The 26,963-nt window shown below is 52.7% G+C and overlaps 1 protein-coding gene across 12 annotated transcripts in view, besides 3 other annotated features; it reads left to right on the top strand.

The window, feature by feature from the left end:
* TRABD2B (TraB domain containing 2B) overlaps positions 1–26,963 on the top strand; it is a 236,858-nt gene that overhangs the window by 199,187 nt on the left and 10,708 nt on the right. For 3 of the 12 annotated variants that reach the window (XM_024446935.2, NM_001194986.2, XM_047420060.1), the window contains 3 exons: positions 3,439–3,613; positions 19,655–19,745; positions 22,760–23,029. In XM_024446935.2, coding sequence (XP_024302703.1) covers positions 3,439–3,613; positions 19,655–19,745; positions 22,760–23,029 — 536 coding nt within the window. Of the gene's footprint in view, positions 1–3,438; positions 3,614–16,629; positions 16,735–19,654; positions 19,746–20,364; positions 21,277–22,759; positions 23,030–23,189; positions 24,496–26,963 lie in introns of those variants that run through there. The other 9 variants (XM_024446933.2, XM_006710640.5, XM_017001263.3 and 6 more) reach the window with 6 other exon arrangements.
* Positions 3,751–3,984: a silencer, noted in NCBI's record as "fragment chr1:48259887-48260120 (GRCh37/hg19 assembly coordinates)". NCBI's record gives its function as "represses an EF-1alpha promoter that drives an FKBP-Casp9 reporter gene in an ReSE screen in phorbol 12-myristate 13-acetate-treated (for megakaryocytic differentiation) K562 erythroleukemia cells {active_cell/tissue: K562(+PMA)}" and the evidence as "EXISTENCE:reporter gene assay evidence [ECO:0000049][PMID:32094911]".
* Positions 11,780–12,280: an enhancer, noted in NCBI's record as "H3K4me1 hESC enhancer chr1:48251591-48252091 (GRCh37/hg19 assembly coordinates)". NCBI's record gives its function as "activates a minimal SCP1, AML or CMV promoter by ChIP-STARR-seq in naive H9 embryonic stem cells {active_cell/tissue: H9 hESC(naive)}" and the evidence as "EXISTENCE:reporter gene assay evidence [ECO:0000049][PMID:30033119]".
* Positions 22,350–22,884: an enhancer, noted in NCBI's record as "H3K4me1 hESC enhancer chr1:48240987-48241521 (GRCh37/hg19 assembly coordinates)". NCBI's record gives its function as "activates a minimal SCP1, AML or CMV promoter by ChIP-STARR-seq in primed H9 embryonic stem cells {active_cell/tissue: H9 hESC(primed)}" and the evidence as "EXISTENCE:reporter gene assay evidence [ECO:0000049][PMID:30033119]".

Below are 26,963 nucleotides of genomic sequence, written 5' to 3'. Positions count from 1 at the left end.
ACATTCCTCGTTGTCCTCTCAAAGCGCATATCCATCAGTGTTCTTGTGCGCATATGTGACTCCCCCATCAGTCTGTGACCCTCATCAAGAGGAGCAGACCCAGTCTGAGGAAGCTCTCAGGCCCCCTAGCCCAACACAGGGCCCGGCTCATGGAATTTCCCACAGGGTGTCTGTTGGATGGATGGGCTACAGGGAAGGGGTGCAGAGTTTAGATAGGTGGTGTCAGCAGACCTGAGCATTTGACTATTAGACCTGACATGGTTCATGGGTCAGGGAAGACTACACTGAACTCATCCCCCACAGCCCCACCCCAGCCCTGTCCAACCAATCACCTCATCACCCCATCCCTGGAGACCTCACATGTCCTCTTTAAAATGTCATTGTGCATCCTGCACTTAAACTTGTCATAGAAGATTTAAGGCCCCCAACAAGTCTAATGACATCATTAATTTGCTTCCATCCCAGCCGTGGCCCAAACCCAGAACTCATCCTTGGCAAGGAGCCAAGGCCCATCAGCATGAAACATGCAGAGAATGCTGGCCAGCGGCTGGCCAGCCCCTGGAGCCTGGGGAGCTAGCCCAGTTTCCTTCATGGCTTTAAACTTTCACTTTTGGGTTCTTGTCCTTGTTAATTTTTTTTGACTCCCCAATTAACAAATGGAGAATCATCTTTGTGTACATGCACATTTGTGGTCAGGAAGCATAGGAGGAGGGGCTGGACCCGTGTTCAGGTTCCAGGGACCCTTGGAAGGAGAGGGGAAGTGGACTGCTGCCTTCATGGTACTCTCCAATGGTTCAGAGCCATTTATTTGTCATCTTCATCCTTACCCTGTGCCCAAAGCCACCCTTCACTGGGAAAAGTGATGAAGCCAGCTCCATCCCCAGGCCAGTTGTGTAATAGCTGACATTGATTCAGGACTTCCTTTGTGCCAGGCACAGTGCTCAGTAAGCACTTTCCAAAACACATCTTGTTTAATCCCTACAATAATGTGTGTTACCCCCATGTTACCAATTTGGAAACTTAGTCTTAGAGAGGCCAAGTCACTTTCTGGTTCTAGAGAGACCACTCAGCTAGTAAGCTGCAAAAGAGGGATTCCAACCCAAGTTGTCCTGGCTGTCTGACTTCAGGCCCTACATTCATAGCCCCATACTTCTAAGGCCCCTCAGCTCACTCATTCATTCACTGATTAGACAAATATTTATTTGGTGGTACAACATAGTTTTCACATTATTTTCCATACCTAAAGAACGGTAGAACCTGTGAGGGTCACATTTCCAGAAATAACTCCTCTGAGTCATGGGCTTTCTGTGCTTCTCCCCGTTCAGAAGCCGTCAGTGTTCCCATAGCTGCATCAAGTTCAAGCATGCCCTGTTGTGTTAGGGTTTCCAATTATCGCTTTCAAAGGGGGTATGTAGGGAAGTAAGAATTCCATTGCCAACTCTGATTGGGCACTAGCAACACTGCTGTCTATAGCTATCCAGGTTGCGCACTGCACAAGGTTAGGGGACATCAGCCATATTATTGTCTTGTTCATCCCAGAGCGGTGAGTCAGGCCTTTCTGGCAGAGAAGCCCCATGGTGCATGTACCTTTACCTCTCCTCTCACTCTGGGGAACACACTAGGCCTTGGCCAGCAGATAGCAGAGGCAAATATCCTAGCCTCCTTAGAGTCCCTTAGGGCTCAGCCTCCATTGACTCCATTTTCCTCAGAAGGAGTGTTGACAACACTGCAGTGGCTCTAGAAGCCATGTGGCTGGGCTGCAGGGCCATTTAGGGGCTTAATCCTGTAGAAAATTAGCCTCTTCATGCCAGGCTCTCCATCCACCTCACCCTTCAGTTTGCAAGGTCTGGTGTCTTGTGCTTTGGGCCTGGGTAGGTGAAGATAGAGAAGTGGAAGAGGGGACACCAGGTGGAAACCATCCTGTGAGCAGGAGCTTGGAGGTTGGAATGACACTGACAGGTTGTGAGGAAAGAGAGAGTATATTCTGATTCCCTGCCTCAATTTCCTCAACAGCCCCATGTGCATATTGGAGGAGACAGTGCAGGAGCACCTGGGCCTGTTATCCAGGTTGGAAAGACAAAATGTTGGGAATAGAAGAACACAGTGGGGCAACTGTGGTCAGAAAGGGACAGCACAACTTTAAGTTCAAGGTTCAAGGAATCTGGGTACCTTCTTTGTGCCGGCTGTTGGGGGCCAGGAATGACAAAAGCTCTGTCCCTGAACCCAGGAAGCTCTCTGCCTAGTTCAAGACCCTGTTAATGCTGTTCCCAGGCCATGTGGCTGGGCGTATAGTGTGGGGTGATGGCAAAACACCTAGGCAGCTCCAAGCTAGGTTGTTGAGCAAGCCAACTTGGGGGAAGCCATGGTCCTGGGGTTGAGGTATTCAAAAAGGGATGGAGGCATTTGCATTATGTCCTGGAAAGTGGTGGTGCAGGGATGGGGAGTTGGTGGTGGCAGCAGATGGTGGCTCAGGCATTGGGAAAATCAAAAGTGATGATCCTTTCTCTCATCTCTGTAGGGTGGCATGTGCTGAATGTAGCCCATGACAGCCCCCATCCTCTTATTGAATCCCCACAATATCATCAGTTTCATCTTACAAGTGACAAAGCTGGGACTCGGAAAAGTTAAGTAACTTGCCCGGTGCCACGCAGCATCAGAACAGGGGGTGAGCCTACTCTTGTACTCAGTGGCCTTCCCGCTGTACCAGGCAGCTCAACTGACCCTGCACATCCTCTTGCTGAACTAAATTCCTTGTACTTGCCAGCACCAGGCTCGGCGGTGAAGTGAGAGCAGTTAACAAGATGAGCACAGTGCCAGCCTCCCCAGACCTCAGCATCTGCTGAGGTTCAGCAGGGCAGAGACACAAGGCAGAGCAACACATGTGGAAGCCCAGAAGCTAGGCCTTATCCTGGCACTGCCAGCACATCTCTGGATCTTTTCCACTCTTGCTTGCTTCATCTGTAAAACTGGAATAACAATGCTTATCTGAGAGGATTTTGGAATTGATGAGAAACATGTACAAAACATGTAGCCCACTGTAGGGGCCTCATAAAAGGAAGTTGCCCAGCCCCACTGGGGCTGTGCATACTTATCCTAAGTCCACCTTGCTCCATAAAGAACTGACAGCAGGTCATGCGCAGTGGCTCATGCCTATAATCCTAGCACTTTGCGAAGCCAAGGCAGGAGGATTGCTTGAGCCAGGAGGAGTTCGAGATCAGCCAGGGCAACATAGTGGGATTCAATCTCTACAAAATATTTAAAAATTAGCTAGTCATGGTGGTTCATACCTATTTGGGAGGCTGAGGCAGGAGGATGGCTTGAGCCAGAGAGTTGAGGCTGCAGTGAGCCACTGCACTCCAACCTGGGTGACAGTAACACCCTTTATCAAAAAAAAAAAAAAAAAAAAAACTGAAGGCAGCCTCTGTCTTGCCTTTGCAGCTGCCCAACTTTATCAACACCACCCTCCCGCCACACGAGCAGGTGACGGCCCAGGAGATTGACAGCTACTTCCGCCAGGAGCTCATCTACAAGAGGAATGAGCGCATGGGGAAGAGGGTCATGGCGCTTCTACGGGAGAACGAGGACAAGATCTGCTTCTTTGCCTTCGGAGCAGGTTTGGGCCAGTGTGGGGAAGGGATTGTTTGCAGAATCCTGGGAGATTTGCTTGGCTCTCCCCTAACCTCTACTTCATCGAGGGAGAAGTCGAGGCCCAGGATGGGGCAGGAAAAGCCACACAGTGCTTAGCAGCAGCACCGAGATCCAAGGCAGTTCTCCTGATTCGGGTCAAGGGTTCTTCCATAACGGTCCCCACGGGAAAGGGGAGTGATGACCCCTGCCATGGCCAGGATAATTTCTGTGGTGCCTTCATGCCCCCAGGCAGCCATGTGAGAGCCCAGGACTAAAGCCAGCTCCCACTGCCCAGCCCAGCCTCAGGCCCACCCACAGAGCCAGGAGCAAGGCTGTGAAGCACATGTGGCCCCAGAGGGAGAGGCTGGCTCTGGCGTCCCACAGTCCTGGCTCTAGATCCCAGCCCATCCACATCACCTTGGCTGGTACCTTCTCAAAGACTCAATTCTTTCTTATATAAATGGGCAGTGATAGCAATAACTATTTGATGAACTGAAAATATCTACTTTGTAGAATAGTTGTAAAGATTAGTGATAATATTTTAAAAATAACCTGCCACATAGTAGGAACTCAAAAAGGCAGCTGCAATGATCATCATGATGATGATGATACTGAGTATAAGTGTGATCATCACACATGGAACAGTGAACTTGATGCTTGCTTCTGGGGGACCTGGCCTCCTCATGCAAAGGGGAGTCTACATGTTCAGGTGCAGGGCTCACTTAGCATTTCTCTCCCTGTTCCTTTGCCTTTCATTTTTCCTCTCCTCCCTCACTCTTTGTTTCCTTCTATATGGCTGTCCCTGCCAGTAACACTATGTTTACACTGGGACCAGGATATTGTGTTTGCCTCTTGTTACTAACCAGCTTTTGCTCAGTAACTGACAGCAACAGACATTTATTTCTTGCTCATGTTACCTGCAATTTGGGTTGCCAGAACTCACCTCCTGCATTGTGAGAATTAATGAGATGGCTCCTGGACATGCTCACCACACCTGGTGCCACTGTGTTCCCTTCCCCTCCTGTCACCCTCATGCCGCCCTCCAGGGCGAGCAGTCAGTCTAACCCACCAGGGCCCTTGTGGATGTCCTGATTTTGTAATGGGATATGTCCACTGTTTGAACATTCATCCTTAAGGGCAAGAGCCAGAGGCACATCTGCTGGGCCTCGCCCCTCCTTTGCAGCCCTCACGTAGTAGAGACACAGGGGAGGGGCTCAGAAGTAGATACAGTCCTCCTGGGACAGCACCTTTAAGGCACAGCAGTTGGGCAGAAAGAGTTCTGGGTTCATGCAGGATCTCTGCTGTGGCCTGTTGTGGCCTCCGGCAAGTCTCTTTCCCTCTTGTAGCCTCAGTTTACCCATCTGAACAGGAAGAGCCAGGACTCACTTGGGCCATCTAGGATTCCAGAGCTATTCAGCCATAGGTTTTAGAGAAGGGAGGGATTCCTGTAGGGGTGTAGGGGCAGGAGCAGGACATTGACTGGCAGCATGGAGAGGGTAAGCCACTCTCCAGCCGCAGGGCACCTGCTGGGAGCTCGGTGTGAGTCAGGACAGCTTTGAGGACTGTGCAGGGAAGAGTCCCCTCCCACTCCCTCACCATCCAGCTGCCTCTTCCGCCCTCCCTCCTATAGGCATCAGGGCAGTGCATCCTGCTCTGGAACAGCCCCCAGTAGACTCCAAATGGGGAACCACCCTGAGTCATCCAGCCCCCAGGCTCCTCCCCAGGCCTAAGGGGAGCCCCCAGAGAGTGCAGTCAGTGAAGGGGCCTTCATTCTACACACCCCACCTGAGTAGTCCTGCCTGCCCCAGGACCCAGGAGCAGAGTCTCCCAGGGCTGGGGGTAGCTACCACCAGCTCTGTCTGTGAGCAAGAAAGCAGAAGAGTCTAACAATGAAAATCACAGCAGTGAGGGGAGCCGTGGACACTAACCTCCTTTTCCTGAAACCCTAGGTTTGTAGGGGCACTGATGTCCACTCCAGCAACAGGCCAGCACACAGGCATGCCAAACGCCAGCTTCTCCCATCTCCAAAATGTAATCAGTCCCCAGTGAATCCTGTTGACAGGCCACCAGAAAGACCTCACACCCATCCATTCTGTCCATGCCCACTGGCACTATCCCAGTCCCAGCCTCCTCCCCTCCTCCCTGCCTCTGGACTCCTCCCCACATTGTGGTCAGTGAGTGGTGCTGGCTTTGTCTCCCATGCTCGCCTCAGAGGTGGGGCACCACTTAATCATCGCTGTGTCTTTGGTAGCATGTAATAGGCTTTAAGTTTGCTGAGTGAATGAAAGAATGAATGAGTGAAGAAATGAACGTTGACCAGGGTCTCCCATCCTGTTCTCCTCTGGGCTGGTGAATTTATAAGGATAGGCCAGCAGTAAAGTCAGGGCAAAGGGAGACTCACCTCCGCTCTCATGAATCCACTCTCCAAAAACAACAGATCTGGAGCCACGTGCAGATCCTGCTGGCAGCTGCCACTTCTCCTGGCTCAGCCATGCCTGGAACAAATGGCCCACTCTGCACAGCAGATCTCCTTTCCACCCAAGAATTTCCAAGCTGGACAGAGCCTCTGAGCTTGAGCTGCCCACCTCATCCTGGCTGTGGGACAACTGAGGTCCACAGAGGGCAGGGACATGAGCAAAGCCCCCAGAAAGTCCAGGACAAGGCCAGAACCGTACCCTAGGCCCAGGATCTATGATCCAAGGGCTCTGTTTTTGTGTGCAGGGCATTGAGCCACCCCAGCGGGCCTGTTACAGAGTCATCCTATTGACATGGAACGCATCCGCATGAAAGCTGTGGTGAGGGAAGTCCACTCCGGCCTCGTTACATTCTTATGATCATGTAATTTCTGAGTCCCACATCTGGTGACAGGCTGACTTACGTGCAGAGCTGGGACTAAGCACTCTCTTGGTGGAGTGAGACCTGAAGACATACCCGCTCCACTCCTCACCTACCCACCTGGGGGCCCCTGCAGTTCTGTCCCCGGACTGCCGGGCAGTGGGGACCCTGGGACTCAGTGGGCTCTCGCAGCCCATTGCCTGCCAGGTCCCAAATAACTCATAAGACCCCCAAGGCTATGGGATGTAGGAAGGGTCTATACTACCAGGAATGCAGCTATCCATCCCCCAGGCATGTGTCTGCTCATGCAAATGTCTCTCAAGCCTAGAGTCCATGGGTATCTCTAAGAAACATCTCTGGAAATAGAAACATATGACCCCCACCAACCCAGCCTTGCCAGGTGTCTGAGCCAAGCCCCTGCTGGGGGCTCTTCTGTCATTCCACGACAGGCCCAGCCTCAGTGTCCAGCTGAAGTTCCTGAAAGCTCTGTGGTTCTGGAGTCTGGATGGGGCCAAGCATGTGAAGGTGAGAGATTGAGCCTCCGCCTGCCTGGCCCCTCCAGTGCTTGTTAGGACCCAACCCCGACCCAGCCCAGCTCCAGAATCCTGCCCTGAGAGCCTGCGAGGACAGACAGGGATTTCCAGTGCTGACTGCAGTCTGGCTTCTCCTCTCTTCTGCTCTGAGGGGGCTTCAGTGCAAAGGGTAAGAGCTTTGGGGTCAGGAGGCCTGGGTGTAAAGTATGGCTCTGCCACTGTGAGCTAAGAGATGCTGGGAAAGCCATTTCACCTCCAAGGGCCTCAGTCCCTCATCTGTAAAACTGGGACAATACATCTGCCTCATGGGATTGTTCTGGATACACTCATTTGAGAACACAGTATTAAAATGCTCTTCCATGGTGGAAGGGTTCTTATCATAAAAGCCCTTACTATGTGCCAGCCACCATTCCAGGCTCTCTGATTACGTAACACCACGAGATGGATTTTAATGATACTCATTTTGCAGATGAAAACAAAGCCTCAGGGAAGATGAACGGCTTCCTCAAGGCCATGGAGGCAGACCTGCCATGGGAAGCCTGGCCTCTTGAGTCCCAGGTGTGGCCATTTCCCTTGCACGTGGTGCCCTTGCTGTATGCATACAAAAGTGTTGATGATTTTGTGGAAACGAGTGCCTGTTTAGCTGGTGCCTCTCATGAAATACTCTTAGCATCTGTGATGTTTCTGCAACCTGGCACTGTGTGACCTCTTCTAGAGGTTACCCTGCAGTTCAGGGCAGGTGGGGTGCAAATGTGTGACAACCTTGAGCAGGCCTGGGTGATGCTGGGGGGGCCCAGATGGAAGCCCTCCCTATCCAGGAGGTGGCTGTGGCCAGTGTGCAAGCCCAGATGTTCTGGAAGTAGCCAGGCTGTGGCCATGGAGGGGTGTGTCATCCAGAGGGGAGGAAAAGCCCATTTTCTGTCTGCTGAGCTCCTGTAGCTGGACAGGCTGAGCCTCAAGAGCCCCCCAAGATTTTCTAGTCCAGTTGCTTGTAGATGCAGGTCCTTGGGTTTCCTCTGGTACAATTAACAGAAAAATAAGTACAAGGTGGTGAATTCCTTGTTAGCTAAATTTATTCAATTTACAGGTTTATATTCTGAAATTATCTCCTTTCAACTGTGTTTGAAGTTAAAATATTCCTTACTTAAGAAAATTAAAAAGATGATGGTGGGAAGCAGATAAAAGTCTCAAAGTCCTCATTTGGCAAAATGAAAATCTGGTAATTGCATTGTTCTTCCCACTCACCTACCTTTTTTTTTTTTAAGATGAGAAAGAATTGAGCATGCTTGAAATATGAGGAAGAGAATATTCTAGGATGAGTGAGGCTGATGATACAGGAGAGAGGGGGGAAAAATGATAAGCCTGAGGTTCCAAGAAGGCAGCAAGGTGGGGACCAGAGCTTGGGTGCAGGGTTGAGGAGGACGCCTTGGGTGGAGGAAGACACCTCTTCACCTGTAACTGAAGGGAAGGAGGGAGGAGGCTGGCAGGCAAGTAATTTGGCAGCCAAAAAGGGAGCAAATTCTCAGCTGATGGCTTCTAATCAGAGCACCACTGTCTGAAGTAGAAGGTGAAGTCATCCACAGAGGAAGAGGAGAGAGAAGGGAGGATTCTTGGTTTGAAGAGGTGAGACTATTTGACATAAGAGAAATTGGCCACAAGAACTGACCAGGACAAGAAGTTAAAGATGTTTCCTCCCATGGGCCATTATGATTGATTGGTAGCACCTGCCTGGAACGTTATGGTATAAGATGATAAAGTCGCATCAGAGCCCAGCAGAGAAGAGGCCCTTATTGATTTGTGATGTCTGCTGGGGACCGAGATTAGGGCACATGCCAGCTACAAATCTGCTCTGTCTATGCTAGGAACATAGAGGATGCTGACTGCAATGAGGGCCCATGAACCTGCCAAGTCACGGGTGTAAGATTTTCTCCAGCAACACCAAGCAGCTGGGGTGTAAATGTGGATGTTGTCACCCAGGCCTGTGTGCTGATTTTATCCTAGCACCCACTGCTCAGTGATCATCCCATTGCATGTGAACTACTCCAGGACAGGGCACATACGCCTCAGAATTGCTGACACCTAGGAGATGTTCTGTGAGGACATACTGGACCAAATCACACAGAATGAAGTTCATTCCATTGAGTCAAGGTATCTCCAGGCCCAATTGTGGGGGTGGGGTCCAGTCTTATGCACTAGAAGAAAATTACAATTTTACCCTTAGTTCCAGGGAAACAGGTTTCTCAGGATATTTACTTGTTCAGCCATCCAGAAATCTTCTAGCATTCTTTTTTCCTGGACTAGAATGAGTAATGTAGGAATTAGAGGAACTGGGCTGGAGACATGAGCCGGACTCAGGGGTGGACCAGGTAACCTCTAGGGCCCATTCATTTCAAACTCTGAGAACCAGTGGTTATCACACACTCCGTCCCTAGCACGTGCTATAATCTGAGTATAATTCTAACTTCTGACATTCCAAAATCCTTGACCCTAACATGCTGTTGCTTTAAAGTTGCACAGCTCTAATATTCCAGCATGCTGTAATCAGAGCCTTCTAACATGCTAGCATTATTTGCTCCAGCCTCTCTTGGATTCCTTGGGAGGAGTATGGAGCTAAGAGCCTTCCAGGAATGGAAATCACTCTTCGCAGGACTGCTGTCACCTGCTCCACAGGGAGCAGAAGTCCAGGCAGAAGGCAGAACTTGAAGAGTTAAGAGGCAAGCAGTGTGAGCACCAGAGACAGAGAGGCTGGCTCCATTACTCAGGCACCCACACATTTGGCACATGCAGCCCCCAGGCTCATGCCAGCCTGTTTCTACCCCAGCTAGAGTGCCGCAGACCCCATAATCCAAAACACACCTGTGAAGCTGGGACACAGAAGCAGATCAGAGGTAAGCACCCAGGCTTGAGAGAAGGGAGAGATATAAGACCAACACACAGAATACCATTAACACCTTTTAAAATTCATAACGTTAGAAATTGCTCCCTAGAGAGTGGACACCATCCTGCTTGAAAAAATTCCCATATCCATCAACTTATATGGCCCTTCCACATCCTCAATTCCTCTTGGAGGGAAACAGGATGGTATTTATTATTCCATTTGGCTGGTCAGTAAATCCAAGTACAGATGGGATGTCAGAGAGTCTTAGAACTGAAGTGAAATGGTGGTCACATTGTCTAGGTCATTCTTCCTGATGACCAGGAAGTCATCCTGATCCCTAAAAAATCCATCCAGCTGTCACTTGGGCCCTCTGTTCTGCTGGGAATTCTTCTGCTGGGCCTTCCCTGATTTCCCTTCTGGGCTCCCATAGGCCTCCAGGATTTTGCTATCACAGCCTCTCTCATGCTCCCAGTCTAGGATGTCCACTCCCTGAGCACTAAGAAGGTGCGTATTACCCACTTGTTGAATGAATGAATGAATGAATGAATGAATGCACCAACCCTGAGGTCCATAAACAGAAATGCTGCCTGCTTCTACATTATCCCACAGCAAAACCCAGCCTAAAACCTACATCTTCTGCCCCCATGGTGGGAGACTGAGGGGTCCAACCACATCACATCTGCCTTTGGAAGCTGAGGCTAGATTGACAGGTGAAAAGACCTAAGGAAAGAGAGTCCCAGGTACTGCTGAGTAAACCATGCAATCACAGCTAGAGGAGGGGGAGTTTAGTGCTAAGCAGGAGCATTTGTAGGGAGGGGAGGCGGCAAGATGATTAGGTAGGGAAAAGCCAGAAAAGAAAGAAAATAGAGCAAGGTGAGAGTTACGCCAAAGACGTGAGGGTAGAAAGGGGATTCTGAGATCTTCTATGTGGCCTTCTCAGAGTCTTTCCTCCTCTGTCTGCACAGTGAGGGGCTTTAGACAGAGCTAGGTCCAAGGTCCCCTTTAGCCCCCAACATTCAGCGTTTCCACACATGTCTAACAGAGGTTTGAGTGACTGGCACTGAAAGGAGGCAGGGTAAGTTAGAGAAAGCTTCCTGGAGGAGGTGAAAACCAGTTGAAATTTCCCTGATGCAGATCCAGCTGCCTTCCAGTTTACTCATCATCTCCATAGTCCTCAGGGCAAGACCCACACCAACCTCCTTCCCCATCATGGTTCTTCACTTGGTGGCGTCAGAATGGCAGCCCTTCAGAGCTCATAGCTGGGCACAGAAGAGCGGCCATCGTCCATATAGGGCCTTTTTCACCTTGGAAACAAGAGGCAGGCCAGTCACAGTGGCTCACATTTGTAGTCCCAGCACTTTGGGAGGCTGAGGCAGGAGAATCACCTGAAGCCAGGAGTTTGAGACCAGCCTGGGCAATATCCCAAGACCCCATTTCTACAAAAATAAAAAAATTTGCCAGTCATAGTCATGGTGATGCATGCCTATAGTCCCAGATACTCAAGAGGCTAAGGTGGAAGGGTTGCTTGAGCCCAGATGTCAAGGCTGCAGTGAGCCAAGGCTGCACTCCAGCCTGGGTGACAGAGTGAGACCCTCATCTCTAAAAAAAAACAAAACAAATGAACAAACAAAAATAACAGCTGCTATCCTCTCTCACTGGCAAGCGCCCTGGTCTGCCACCCTCCCCAAGCTGGAGCTTGAGGCCACAGCATCTGAAGTGTTTCAGAATTTCCAACGGTGCTTCAAAGGGTCCTGCCACCCCACCACGCATGCATCTGGCAACTGGCATTCCTGTGAAGGGCTGCAATCCTTGGCCAGAGTCGCCGTTGCTGCTTCAGGCCAGAACATCCAGCCAGCCAGAGGAACATCCCCTCCTGGCTTGTCCCTAGCTGGAGCCAGCCCTCACCCTCCGAAACAGAGGAGAGTCTAGAAGAACAGAGTGCCCACACCCCAGGACAGATCCCAGGGCTGCTCCATCAGTGAAGGAGAATGTACAAATCTGGCAGGGAGCTCAACATTCTTCCTGGACAGTGTGAGAAAGGCAAGAAGAGAAGAAAGTGTAGATTAAAAGCATGGGCTTGGACCCAGACTGTGTGAGTTAGAAACCCTGCGTTCTCCTGATCAGAAGTCGCCTTGGGCAGATCAGTTGCTTCACTTCTCTCAGCCTGCGGCCTCCCACTCTGCAGATGAGCCTGAGATCCAGCTCACTAGCACTCAGGGCCTGGCCTTGCACAGTCATTCCGTAAATGTGAGCTCTTGTGTTGCCACCATTATTTCAGGGTCCCTGGCCCCTCAGAGCTCGAAGTCCTCTAAGAACAGGACTCCCACACAGGAGACAGTAGAGCCACTGGGGTCGAGGGGCAGAAGTGCTTGGTGGCCTCTGAGGATGCAACTGGGACGCTGTGGCAAAACCCCAAGAGCCAAATTCAGCTCCAAGTAGCACTGAGGCTCAGGAGGCGTGGGGCCCTGTCCCTGCCAACAGGGAGCTCCCAGGAGTCCTGGGGTGTTGTGATTCTAAAAAAGGAGCCTCTGGATGTTGTAAAGAGTGACTGACATGGCCATGGAGATCCCTGGCTGAGCACTGCCTCCTGCAGTTCACAGAACCCATCACAGGCTCTGTCCTGTGCTGACCTGGAATCAGCCTGCATGGCCATTGCCTGGATCTGGGCCTTGACATGGATGCACCCCGTGCCATGCCTGGGCTTGAGCCCAGCTCTGCCCCTTTCTGCCAGCGTGACACAGGGCAAGTTCTGTTAGCCTCAGCAGGGTTGCTCCTCTCGGAATTTGTAACCATCTTTGCGCTGTTCATGGCAGAGCTGAGCTGTCCAGCTGAAGACCTGGGGCACTTTCATTTCTGACGTCCTGCGTTCTAACAGCCTCCAAAGAGGAGCAGCTGGTAAAGGCTGCTAAAGCAGGCAGAATCTCTGGTTCCACCCAGACACAGCAGTTCCCCATAGGATGTCTGAATACCCCTCACAGGCCTGACAAGTGCTCTTCGACCCTCAGCTTACACACCTCCCAGGGTGGAGCACTCACTTCCTTACAGCTGGACAGTTGCCTGGGAGAGTGTTTTTTGGTCCCAGCTTGAATCTGTCCCCTTCACCATGTCCTGCAGCAATCAGAATGTCATGGAGGAGGGACACCCTCGTGTTCCAACCCTCACTATTGCCACCTCTCCTTTCACTTTATGTTACTGCAACCCAGAACTGCTGTTGGCCAGCACGTGCCACACCACCTCTCCCCTCCGTGCATTTGATCCTGCTGTGCTCTACCAGGAATGCCCTTTCTCCTCTCTTCCTCTCACTCCTCACTCATCTCCTTAGTCTGGGTCCCTCTCCTTCCACTTCAACCCCATGGCCCCTGGCACTGCATGGCTCATGCTGTCCTGTGAGTGTTTGCCTGCCCATCTCCCCCTCTCCATACCGTGACCTCCTCAGGGGAGGGGACTGTGTGTCAGCTCCTGGCACAAGGTTGGGTACAGAGGTGGTGTCATCTCAGGCCCCACTGAACTGAAAGGTCCCTAGCCCTTCCCTGGGCGGCCTGCAAAGCAGGAGAAAGGAAGCTCGGCTCTGCCAGTGTCCCTCCAGACACTCTTTGAGAGACCAGTTGTCCATCCTCCACTGGCCCTCCCATCCAGCCCTCCTGTCATACTTCCTCAGGAAAAAAAACACCGCCATAGCTTGATATCCGGCCGGCCTGTCCTGGCAGCTAGATTAGCATTTGAAAGTTTCCCTTGCATTAATTTCAGACGGAACATAAATATGGGCTTGGGATGCCTCTTCCAGGAGGAGAAAACTGGAAACCCAGCATACTCACTGGAGAGAAAACATGTGTGCTGATCGGGGGGAGCCAGTGCTGCTTTGGAGCCTTTGTGGGAACATCTGGTTCTCCCCTCCTCCCTCTGCCCAGCCCCTCAACACGGTCCTGAAACTGCCCTGTTAATTGTGTGTTATTCTTGCTGAGCACTTGCACACTCTCCTCTCCGATCTGGTGAACCTTGGAAGGGACGCATGTTTCTGACAATTTCCTGCCCCCAAATGTGAACTCAGGATCCCTTGCAGCTGCCAATACTTCAGAGTGGGTGTAGTAGGACATGCAGTAAACTGGGACATCTCTGGATTGAAGTCCAAGCTTTGCCTTTTACCAGGTGTGTGACCTTGGGCGAGTCACGTCCCCTCACTGAGCCTGTTTCCTCATCTGGAAACTGGCAACACCTCAAAGGGCCGCTGCAAGGATGAAATGAAATGACGTTTGAGAAGCATCCTGTACTCGGGAGGCCCACTAAGTATGAGCATGTGTGCAGGTCATCAAACGAAGGAATCATAGAGGTGGGAGGACCCATGAGACCGAGACCATGGGGCCCAACACCATGTGGGGAAACTGAGGCACAAAGTGAGACTGGAAACTCCCCAAGGTGACATGGTTAATTGATGAGTGGGGTGTTCTAACAGTCCTAACCCTAGGACAGCACTCGCTCTACCCTGCCTTCCCATGTCAGAGGATCAACAGGGGCTGTCAGGCTGTGCCAGGCTGATGGGAGGCGGGGTAGATCTGGCCTTGGCCTGTGCTCTGCTCACTGAGCCTTGTGCCCTGGCATAGGCTAGATTGCGCTTAGGAGAAAGGGAGTCTTTTTCTTTGCACTAAAACATCATGGGGGCTGCACCTGCTCAGAGCAGGGAACCTCTTCCTGTTTGTATATAAGTGTCCTTTATGTGGGACCCTGGCTTCTCTCAAGGTAGGCAGGCACCATCCCAGCCCCGCAATTTTTAAGATCCAGTCCACCTTTAGGCCCTTGCTTCTCCTTACTTTGCCTGTCTTCTCTTACATCTGCATCTGAATCCCACCCATCCTGGGGGAGTCCTCGATACATGACTGGATACATGAGCCCCTCCTCTCGGAAGCCTTCCCTGATGTCCTCAGTGAATTGGTCTCCACCACGCTTTTTGTCTTCATTTCTGAGTTCCCTCTCTCCTCTTTCTCCCTTCTCTCCTTACCTCTCTGTCTCTGTGTCTTTGTATCTCTTTGTCCTGTCCTTGTCTCTTTCTGTTTTTCTTGGTGTCTCTTCTTCCCTCTCTCCCTACTGTTGTCTCTGTGTCTCTTACTGCCTGTCTCTGGGCCCCTTTCTCTTTCTCTCCACATTGCCTTTCTGCTCTCCATCTGCTCCTGAAGCTCTCTTCCTCCTCCGTGCCCCTTTCTGTGAGTATCTCTCTGCTCTTCTCCCTACCTCTCTCTCTCTTTCTCCTCTCTCCCTCTCTTTGTCTGCATGGCTCTGTGTGCCGCAACCCCCCCACCCCATGGTCCTCCCTCTGTTTCCTCCTCTTCTCATCCACGAGGCCTCAGCAGATGAAATGGAACGTATCTTCCTGCAGAGAGCTGGCCAGAGAACAGCTGTCAGTGTTGGAAGGGGCTGCTGAGCCGTGGCCAGGAGACCTGGGGAGCCTGGGCAAGCCTTGCAGGCTGAGCCCCAACATCGTGGGGCCCCTTTGGAGACTTTCCATGACTTTCCCTGCAGGTTCCAGGATAGGTGTGGCACCTATTTTAGGATTTCTGACCTTGGAGGCAAGCATGGTTCCTGTCTGCCAGCTCCTGAGGACGGCATGCTCTGGGCCCTGACTCGGGCTGGTCCAAGGGCCAAATTCCTGGGATTGGTAGAATCTGGAGGAGCACCACCAAGGGGCAGGGCTGAGTTACAAGAAGAGGAGATCCATGAGCTCAGGTCTCCTGGGGATAGGATGAGATCATGGAAAGGATATGGAGTAACAGGTTTTTTCACTCATTCATTCAACACACATTCACAAAGCCACTGCCACATGCCAGACTTGAGTTTATCTCTGGGGATAAAGATGAATCAGGCATGACCCCTGCCCTCAAAAAGCTCTTAGATCCCCCTCAGGTGGGTTGGGAGCACGTTCTGACAAAGTCAGCTCTGGGGTGTGAACTAGAGAGAGCAAGGAGAGCAGTTTCTGCAGTGATTCAGGCAGAAGGTGATGGTGACCTAGGCCAGAGTCAAGCACGTTTAGGAGGTCACAGCAGGGGGCCTCTGGGAACTGATCGTATGAAGATGAGGAGCGAGGAGAATCAAGATAGGACCTATTTAGGTTGAATAGCAGAGCCTGGTTGAGACGCAAGACATTGTTGCAGAGAAGGAAGAGTTGGATTCTATAGGTTCTGAGGATGTTTAGGTGGAGATGCCCAGTAGGTCGCTGGACAAATGCATCTGGGCAAAAGTGGCAATTCCAGAGTGGTCAGCATTGTGTAGTTACCAAAACCATCAGGGTGGATGATCTGTCTGTGGGTGAGAAGAAGAGGGCCAAGGGCATGGTTCCCAGGGCTCCCACATTGACTGGGCAGGAGAAAGAGGAGCCCACCAACAGGACAGATAGGGGGCAGTGAGAGAAGTACAGAGAGAACCAGGATGGAATGGAGTCGTGAGCACTGGGGCCGTTGCAAGTGTTGCCAACCCAGCTGTGGGGTGCTGTGAAACCAAGCCCAGAGAGGGCAGGGTGGTAGAAACATGGGCTCGGGAGCGCAGGAACCGCATTACACAGTTCTGGGGCACAGGCCACATGGGAATGGCGCCTCCTGGAGTTGTGCAAGGAGTAGCCACCTGGGTGGAGGTGACCATTCTCCCTGCCCTGGCAGAGGGAAAGGAAGGTGAGTGTGGCTTAGAGAAGGAGAGAATGGGAATTGGAAGGATTATTCCTGATTGGTTTCATTTTCTCAAAGCATCTGAAGTCTTCTGTTTTGGGTCTTACAGAAAACAATAAAGGTGTGGAATGGTTGAGGTTGAGGGGATGGATAGGAACGCCGGCCAGACACGTGGACCATTGCCGCGCAGTGCTCAGGATCCAGTGGGCATCCGGTGAGGCCTGCACCATCGGCCGGGCTGAGGCCTGGGCCCTCTAAGTGTCTCCTCTACTCAGTCCCAGAAACGCTCCTCTTGGAGCAGCCGCGCAGCAGTCAGTAAATATTTGCTGCTGCTCCTGTACAGCCCGAGGCAGGGCTTTTTTTCCTGGCAGCTCTTGAAATCCTCTGGGCAAACGCGAGGACCGCTGTTGGGCTGGGAGGCCTTGTCTTTGCACAGGTCTCCAAGGAGGCAGAAAAGGAGTTGCCTTTGCTGCCAGGAGTAGAGTCCAAGAGCCGCTTGCAGAGAGTTCCTCCAGCCTGCGTGCTGGAGGCTGCCTCTTCCCGTCCCTTTCCAGCTTTATGGTGCTGTGGGGAAAGGCAAGAGTGGGGATGACCCCGCCCTGCCGGGGACTGTCTCCAGCCCATCACTCAGTACTGCACTCTGGGCTTTTCCAAGGGACATCCACTTCTTCTGCCTCATTAGGGCTTTACAGTTGCCCCAAGGAGTCGGTCAAAGAACTGTAGGCCCGTTTGACGCACAAGAAAACTGAGGCTGGTGGCAGGGAAGCCACTTGCTTAGGATCACAGGCTGCGGGGCAGAATGAGAGCCTTGGCGGGAGCCTGGATCTTTTGTCCTCAACAGCACTAGGTCAGGGCCAGAGCTCCGGAAGGGCCTGTTCATGCCTGTGCTGCCCATGCCTCTTCTGCAGTTAGCTTCCCAAATGTGCCTCATTCACCTCCTAGTCATTGCACATGCTGTTCCCCCTACTGGAACAGCCTCCCCCACTGTGCCACCCACTCCTATCCTCACCTCGATAACTCTTATCCCACCCTGCAGCTAGCAGTGCCCCCTCCAGGAAGTCTGCTTGACCCCAGGCTGGCTTAGAGGCCTCCTGTGTGCCCTCACAGCCTCCTGTGTGAACAGTTCCCTCTCCATCATACTTAGTGCCCGGATTACAGGATTCCCATTCTCAAGTCTGTGAGTGCCTGGAAAAAGACCCTGCCTCTTCATCACTACCCAGCACAAGATATGCACCTAGGCAGTGTTCATTAAATGAACGAGATGAATAGGTGGGGAAAGGAAATAAGAGAGGGAGGTATCTTTTCATAAGGGTCTCTGGAATGAAACAAAAACCTTCCCCATAGGCTCTGAGAGCCAGAAGAGCCTATAGATATTATGCATAGCAAGAAACTGAGGGCATTAGAGGGTAATATGCTTGCCTGAGGTCTCAGAGTAAGTGTGGTGGTTGCCAGACTAGAGCCCTCTGACATTCCAAGCCCAGTGACCTTTCCCAGTGATCCTCAAGTGAAACTTCAGGGAGGCAGGGTCAGCCAGCCACATGGCACATAGTCAGGCATGGTCAGCCAGGCCTAAGGTAACTCCAGATGCTCTGGCAGGGCATGGTCAGCAAGAGGGAGATCACTGGGCTGGGAGACTTCCTGAGGAGTTGTGAAACCAGCCCAGAGGTGTGCGAGGCTGGTGGGGCAAGACAGCAGCACGGTTCATTCTCTGCTCCAGCCACTATGCAGTTCTATGCTGGCTTCCTCTGCCAGAGCATCTCTGTTCCCCAACAGCCTGTCCACTTTCTACTCTCCTAGACCTCCCTGGGGCTGTCAGCATGCTGACCTTCTGGCTTCCACCTGTCACCACCATTCACAGGCAATTAGAGGAATAGTGCAGGGATCTCCCCTAGGGTTCAGGATGAACAGGGAGCAGTAGGGGAGAGTGCTTCCCTAATGAGTGCAGCCACAGGGCAGGCCCATGGCAGGAGGGGCCCATGGGCCCTGAACAAGCACCACATTGAGCAGGTGGGGGAGACTGAGGCCCCCGAGGCAGAGGGACATCCCAGAGTGTTGACTCCCAGCACCTCCTGTGTCCAGAGCCACTGGGCCTCCTGAGGGTTCTTCCCAACCAGAGCCCAGGAGAGGCTCCCCTGAGTACTCAGACATCAAGCCTGCATTCCAACACAGGAAGACGATTTCCACTCCCAAATGGGGCTTTCAACTAAATTGCCCATTTCTGTATTCATCGTTCCTAGTGCAGAACTGACCACAGAGCAAGGTTGTCATGAATGTTTGCTGAATGAATGAATAGTGAGTGGGGGACTGACATGGAGGCCAGCCCCTCTCCCCACACACACCTCTGGAGGGTTCAGTTCTATGTTTCTGCCTCCTGTAGGTGACCGTCACTGTCTGCCAGGCCCTGCAATCAGTCAGGGTTTTTGGTTACCCCGGCTGGGATCTTACACCTCAGTGAGTCCCAGGACCTGGCCCATAGTGCGTTCTCCACAGGTACTAGGTGGATGAGTCTGTGAATCCAGCCAGTAGGTGCTGAGCCTGTGCAGGGCAGTGGAGATGCCATCTCTGCTCTCTGGGAGCTGAGTGAGGAGGCCCACATGAACACACAGAACCCCACTCCCATGCTAAAGGAGGGAGGCCTGAGTTGCTGGTAGAACTTACCAAGATGAGCCATAGCCCTGCTAGGGGCTTGAGGGTTCCCTGGAGCTGGGCTTTGAGTGACTGCTGGAGGCTGTCCCAGCCTGGACTGTGGGGGGCTGGGGTCAGCTTCATGGTGTGAGGCACAGAGATGCACCAGGGAAGCACGGAGAGCCCTTACTACGTGCAGGTAGCTGTTTTTTATAATCCTCACAGCAACCCTGGATGTTGCTATTACAGCCATTCTCACTTTGCAGATGAGGAAACTGAGGCATGGGGAGATACAGTTAATGAGCGGCAGAGCCAGGATTTGAACCCAGGCAGGGTGGCACCAGGACCATGTCTTACCTTCTATGCTATACTGCCTCTCAGGGAATCTGGGGCATTGACTTTGGTGTAGGTCACTGGCCCAGATACAAACTTAGGGGATGGCCTGGGGCAGTCCCCTGTGGCCGGTGGCCTGGCATGTGGCTGAGCCCCTTTTGTCACTTGTGTTCCAGGTCACTTTCTGGGGAACAACACAGTCATCGACATCCTGCGGCAGGCAGGGCTGGAGGTGGACCACACACCCGCCGGGCAGGCCATACACAGGTAAGCCACATCTGGGTGTGCCTTGGCCCTCACTGACCCTGCCTTCCTGCCCAGGCTTTCAGGAGAGCTGTGAAGAGGCTTCTGGTGAGGCAGAGGCAGGTCTCTACCAGGAAGCAAGAATGGAAAGGCTGGGCTGGAGGCAGGAGATTGGGAAGGAGCTGGTGAGCCGTCTTGGCTCTAGGTGACAGCAGGGCCAGAGCATGGGTGGGAGTGAGAGCAGCGTTAAGACTGGAGAGGTACTTATGATTTACAGATGGTGGGTTGGGTCGGGGGTAGAGGGACTCAGTAGAACTCCTGGGTGCTGCTTGGAAGACTGTGGCTGCCCTGGCTCTGAATCGAGATGGTACTGGGAGGATGGGCAGGGCCCTGGTCTCTTTCCTGGGTCACAGCCCCACTCTGTGGCAGCCCTGCTGCCCCACCCACTCCTGGTCCTCACCTTCTCCGTTGCTGTCTCTGGCTATGCCCCTCACCCCTAACTTTCCTGCCAGGGCATACCCACCCTGCTCAAATAGCCACTAATGGCCATCCGCTATTCCTGCCAGGTCTTCCAACCCCCACCCCCACAGTCTGGGAGCTGCCCGAGGGTAGGGACCAGCTCAGTCCATCTGTGGTTCCACAGCACCAGCACCAGGCCAGACATGAGAGGTGTCAGCGAGAGCCAGGCTCTGAGTCCCGGGGAGCCCCAGAGGTCAGTGACAGGATCCTCAGACTCCAGGGTTCCATGCAGCTCGTGCTCCAGCATAAAGACCCGGAGTTTGAAAGAAGCTTGGATCTTCATAGCCAGTATTTATTAACTGCTCTCTCCGTACCAGGCTCTAAGACCTTTTAACTCATTTAATCTGCATAACAGCCCTGTGAGGTCAAAGCTATGAGTTTCCCCACCTTATCCTTGAGGAACATGAGGCCCAGAGAGGTGAAGTCACTTGCAGAAGGACACACAGCGGTGTAAGTGGCAGTCTGGCTCCAGGGCCTCCCTGAACTATTACTCCCTGTACCAGCTCTGAGGGTGAACTGAGGTCTCGATAAACCCTCACATTGGGACTTCATCCCAGTCTCCCACCACTTCTCATCTGAGTCAAACTGACAAGGCTGCTCTTCCTACCTGAACCGTTTGGGCCCAGCACGCATTAGTTTATACTGGGGGCCAGGGGCAAGCATGTGTTTGAGGGTTGGGGATTCCAAGGTAGCCTCAGGGACAAAGCCTTCTTCAAGTTTCCCTCCTCTCCCCTCACCCCAGCCCTCACCCCAGCAGCCCCAAGGACCTTCCCCTTGAAGCTCATTGTGTCTGTTCTGGCCAGGGCAGGGGAGGCAGGCAGGCCAGTGAGGCTAGCGAGCCTCCTATTCATCTCAGAGCCCAGGCATTAGGGGAGGGGGCCCTCCACAGCTCCCCCATGGGCTCTGCTCCAAGGACTCTCAGCCTTAGCCTCCTGCACGGGGGAGCAAGGGAGTTGGCAGGGCGGAGGGGGGCGGGAATGCTGAGGAGGCTCCAACAATAAAAGCCATCATCGGCCACAGGTGCTTCCTGGATCTAGCTTTTTGTCTGACTGTTTTGAATTATCTCCCCAGCAGCTGCGGCATCTCCAGGCAGCCTGAATCCTGAGAATCTGGGGTTGCCATGGGGGTAGGGGAGGAGAGGCTGAGCTGATGGCCTTCTTTCCTTCAAAGAGAGAAGCTCCTCACCCATCGTGCCGTGTGAGAGTGGGCTGGGAAGACGGCCTGCCTGCTGTCTTGGGTACTGTCTAACCTTGCAAGCTGCCCACTCAGCCACAATTCCTGAAACCATTCCCAACCTTCTCCCAGGATCACATGTCCCTAAAACAAATTCTATTGTGGCCATGGAGAGGAAAGAATAAAAGGGAGAAAAACAGAGGGTGCCCTTGGGCTAAGCGGTGCACGTGTATGCCCCTGTATAAAACATGAATTCCACAATGTGACAAATGACACTTTAGCGCCTGCCTGACAGCCAGGTCTATTTGCTTGTCGGCCAACATCCAAGAGAGGCTTATGTGCCAGGCACTGTGTTAAGACCTCATCTCATTCATCCTCATGACAACCCCATGAAGTAGGTAGTATTATTATTCTTGTGCTATAGCTCATTGCTGCTTGATATGATTAAGTAACTTGCCCTTCATCACACGGCTTGCAAGTTGTGGAGCCGGGCTGTGGACCCACATCAGTCTACCTCCAGCTCTGACTACTTAACACTGTCTTTGCTCCACTGAAAAGGTGCACAGGAAATGTGTATTGAATGTATGAATGGAAGGTTGGATGAATGCACAATGCTAATAATCTTAATTACTTAAATGTTTTGGCTGCTTACTATTTGCCAGACACTGTTCTCGGTGCTTTGCCGGTGTTCACCTTCATAATCCTGATGAAGTACCCTGTGAGATAGAGTCTGCAACACCCCCATTTCACAGCGTAGGAGACTGAGGCACAGTGAGGTTAAACTCACCTAAAGTCTCAGCCAGAGTTGTTGAATAAATGAGACCCTGACCAAGCTCAGATACGCCCCAGAGACGTACCCAGGGCTCGCTCCCTCACGTCTTCCTAGCCTGGGCTCAAATGTCACCTGCTGGTGACCAGACCACCTTCCCTGAGTAGCACCCTTCACCCCCACTCTCACACCTGTCTCTGTTTCATTTGCTCCTCGGCAGTTAGCAGCGTCTGGCATCCTCTGTTTTACTCTCTGTCTGCTGCTTTGGAATGTAAGCTCTCAGAGATCAGAGGCATTGTCTGTTTCCATCATGCTGATACCTACCTCCTAAAAAAGTGCCTGGGACAGGGTTGGTGCTCAGTAAATATCCGTCGACTAAACAAATGAAGGCATGACTCAAAGCACTGGCTTTCAGCACCAGACGAGGTTTTCCTGGGCTGCTGTCACCGGGCCCAGCAGGGGCACCCTGGCACTTTCTCCTGCCATGACAAACTCCCACTGAATTGGACTGTATTCCCACCACACATGGATGACATTCTCCAACACATGTGCCCCATGTGCCATTACCTCTTTCCAGCCCTGCCCCCCAGAGCCCAGCGCCCTCTCCTGAGGGGACCTCGACGAGCCCGGCCCCAGTGACCCCAGCTGCCGCTGTCCCCGAAGCACCCTCTGTGACCCCCACCGCCCCACCAGAGGATGAGGATCCAGCCCTGTCCCCACACCTCCTGCTCCCCGACAGCCTCAGCCAGCTGGAGGAGTTTGGCCGGCAGAGGAAGTGGCACAAGAGGCAGAGCACACACCAGCGGCCGCGGCAGTTCAATGACCTCTGGGTCCGCATCGAGGACAGGTGAGCCAGGGAGGGCAGGTCTGCCCAGGAGCTGGGCGTCTGCACCCGGGATAGTATACCCTGAACCCCCCACAGCTGGGCACACTGTCGTCAGGCCAGCCCTGCTCTAAGGAAGTGTGGCAGGTGGCTTTCTACAGCACGTTCCCATCTGATTTTTCAGTTTTATTCTCAAAACAAAAGCAATTCAACAACAAGTACAATTCTCTGCACCTTAAAGGTGAGGAAATAGAAGCTTTCTTCAGGCACAGCGCACAAATCTGCTTTGCACTCAGCTTTCCTGGGACACACCTGTACAAACAGGGCGCCATTTGTCCCATGGACTGGAGGTGAAACTAGGAGAAAATGGAACAAGCTGGCTAAGCCAAAAGGCATGAGCTCCCTGTGCCTAGAAGCTGTGAGTAGCCGACACCCTGGCAGGGAGGCTGCAAAGGGAACCGTGCTCTAAGAGAGAGATGGGATAGATGGTGATCAATGCCCTTGAAGCTGTGGGCTCTGTCTTAGGAGTGGATGGGGGATTTGTGATATATCTTGTTGAAAATGGACAGATAGGAGAAATCATCCTAATGCACGGAGACCCTTCTGTCCTCTTCCTATATGCCCCTCCTGCCACCTCTACCACCCACCTCAGCTTGTCTGTCACCAAAGTCCTGCTGTGACCAGGATGCTGTCTTCCAACCTCTGCCTGCAATCTCAGTACACAGGAGTTTCCCCAGATTCCACTTTTTGGCAGGAGTCTCCATATTTAGTGAACAGTGTTGCTAGAGCACAAGGAATGTCCCAGGGAGGGACTGTCAGTGATGGGGTAGAATCCTACCCACTGCACTGGCCCAGCTCTGAATATGCCATGCTTAGCAGTCATAGAGTCTCCATCTCAGAGTCTCTATCAGGGGGAGCCTTAGACTCTCCATCTGGACCCTAGAGATCGCCATCCAGGATTTTCCCCCGAAACCCTAGAGAGAATCACCTTGGCTATTCGTTAAATAAACAGATTCTCAGGCCCCACCGCAGACCTCATGTATCAGAATGTGTAGGACAAGGGCCTGGGACTCTGTATGTTGCGTGTACACCTGGAGATTCTTCTGAGCAGCTGTGGGAAGCCCTGACTACACTGTGCATTATAGATGGTGAACCAAGGCCTGAGTCGGAGAGGGTTTGACCAGGGTCCCCACAAGGAATCAAGGGCTGCCTCTTGCACTTTGCACTTCATGAATCTCCTACAGCCAGGTCTCAGAGCCAATGCCAAAATGTTGCCATGGTCCAGCCCATTATCATAAACTGTGGGGTACACACTATCTTTAAAAGACTTCCAGCAAATAAGAGTCAAGCCCATTGATCCTTTGGGCATTGGTTTCAGAGAACCTTGGGTTACTGAGAAATGTACTTCTGCAGAACCTGGCCCTGTGTATTAGTCTGTTCTCATGCTGCTAATAAAGACATACCCGAGACTGGGTAATTTATAAAGAAAAGAGGTTTCATTGACTCACAGTTCCACATGGCTGAGGAAGCCTCACAATCATGAAAGAAGGCAAGGAGGAGCAAAGCCACATCTTACATGGCAGCAGGCAAAGAGAGAGAATGAGAACCAAGCCAAAGGGGTTATAAAACCTTCAGATCTCATGAGACTTATTCACTGCCACAAGAATAGTACGTGGGAAACCGCCCCCATGATTCAATTATCTCCCACCAGATCCCTCCCACAACACGTGGGAATTATGGGAGTTACGATTCAAGATGAGATTTGGGTGGAGACACAGCCTAACCATATCACCCTGCCTGCCTAAGGCAGAGGCATTACTGTGGCTATATTGGCTATGACACATTTGGTTCACGTGCCCAGCATGGGCCTCCCCCTTCTAATCGGGAGTGAGGGCATAGAGTTACTGAGAGCCACTTTCGTCAGTGGCAGGGAGGGTTTGCAAGCTGCCAGGGAGGCTTGAAGCAAGTGAAGGAGCTGGCAACCCATTAAAAGTTCCAATTAGGCTGGTCACTCAGAGCCCTGATCAACACACTAGGGTAATCAGGAGACCTGGCCAGTGGTGGGGCCAGCCCATGGGGTGACGGGAAGCTGGGCTGTCAGCTCCAGCAATGGAGCTCCGGCCCCTAACCATGTCTGAAGGTAAATTTCAGCAAATGACTCCAAACGGCTTCCTTCTCACAACACATAGCTCCGAAACACAGAGCCTGATTTCAGGAGAAGAAAACAGCTTTTCTTTGGCAAGAAGGGAGCCCCTTTTCTGTCCCCACAGGTAAATTGCAGTTGGCTAACTTTATTCCATCTGATTGGGTTGGAGAAGAAAGTTTCCACCACCGCCTGGCAGCCTGTTTGTTGAAATTTCTTGCCGCTTCTAGGGGAGCAGGCCCTGAGCTCCCTGAGAGGCCCAGGTGCAGGGCACAGCCTCCGTTGCTCCCAGGGGACTCATCCCACCCTCCTGCAGTCCCCAGGTTTCCAATTTTCTAAGAGAAGCAGATGAGAGCTCTCTGGGGGTGACCTGGGGCCCACTGATAGTCCTTCTAACAAAACCATTTTTGGGGAAGCTTTTACTCCCATTTCTCATTTTTCTCCTCCGAAACCCCATTGGAGCCATCTCCTACTCCCCATCACCTCTCCCAGCTCATCTTGCACCTGTCGTCCTGGCCCCGAGTGCCCTCCCATATGGCCGCTCCTCAGCCTGGGGTCCTACAGTGCCCCCACGCCGCTGCTCAGCCCAGATGCAGGGCCTTCACCTTCTTTCCGCCTCAGCCACCACACTGCTTCCTCGAGGTCTGCTGCCCCTGTCCTCACCAGGCTGAGTGCCACCCGAGGTGCCCCGTCCCACCTCCACACCTTCGTCCTGCTCCTCTCTCTGCTTGGAGTGGGGTGCCAGTGGATATTTGTCAAGCTTCCCCTGCTGTGCCAGATACCTGCCTCCATTCTGTCCCTTTTTCTGTCAAGAATTGTGGAAGGTAGGCCTATTTTATACCAGAGGAAACAGACTCAGCAGGTTAGGTAACTTGCCTAAGGCCAGGCAGAGAGTCAGGCAGACCTGCCTGACCCTAAGGGTCGCTGTCATCACCCAGCACCATGTGGTTGCCCTTCCCCCTCTCCCTGGCCCAGCTGAGGCCTCCCTTCCTCCACGCAGTGCCGGTGGGTGCCCCTGTCCTGACACAGTAGCACAGACTGCGAGTCCTCACTCATGCTCCAGGCTGGGAGGCCGTGAGGATCAGATCCGGGTTGGGCTGGGAGCGAGTGTGAGAAGGAGGGAGTGAGCCAGGGACGCGCCTGGAGTGCCTGTCCCGGATGCCACCTGGAACAGGCTGGCCTCCCCCTTGCCCCTCATTACCGGAGATGTAAACACACACTGGAGGAAGTTTAGAGAAGCAGTAGCCCATGGCAGGATGATTTATGGGGACCCATGGAAAGGGCAGACGAAGCGTGTGTCCACAGATGGCTGTGCAGTGGCAGAATATTCTTGGGGAACCCCCACCGCTGAGAGCCAGGCTTGGGGGAAGGGCAGGGCTGTGACCAGGGTGCTCTAAAACAGGGTAGAGGTCATTTCTGTGCAGCGTGGGACCTGTACTACTCCTTCTGTTTCTCCTTTTGTGCAGTTAGGGCCTTGATGGGTCTTTGGAGGTCATGCCAGCTCTTATTCTCCAAGTCCACAGCTGACATGGGAGAGGAAGGGGAGTTTCATAAACAGGGAGCAGAATGTCTGGGCCATCTAGATTGGAAGTCCTTGGGCAAGTCATGCTGGCCAGGTGTAGGGAAGAGACTACCTTCCCAGTGTCAGGCATGGCCCAAAGCAGGGCACAGAGGTGGGTGACAAGACAGATACAGAGCCTTGGTGAGTTCCACCATGCAGGGGGAGGGGGTGCAGGACACATGTGCCACAGAGTCATTGTCCTCTGGGTCTCAGCTTCCCCTGAAGTTTGAGCAGATGGCTAGAGCTCTCAAAGA

The sequence above is a fragment of the Homo sapiens genome, chromosome 1 (genome assembly GCF_000001405.40).
Source record: "Homo sapiens chromosome 1, GRCh38.p14 Primary Assembly".
NCBI lineage: Eukaryota > Metazoa > Chordata > Mammalia > Primates > Hominidae > Homo > Homo sapiens.
This window is presented reverse-complemented; position numbering and strand designations above follow the sequence as displayed.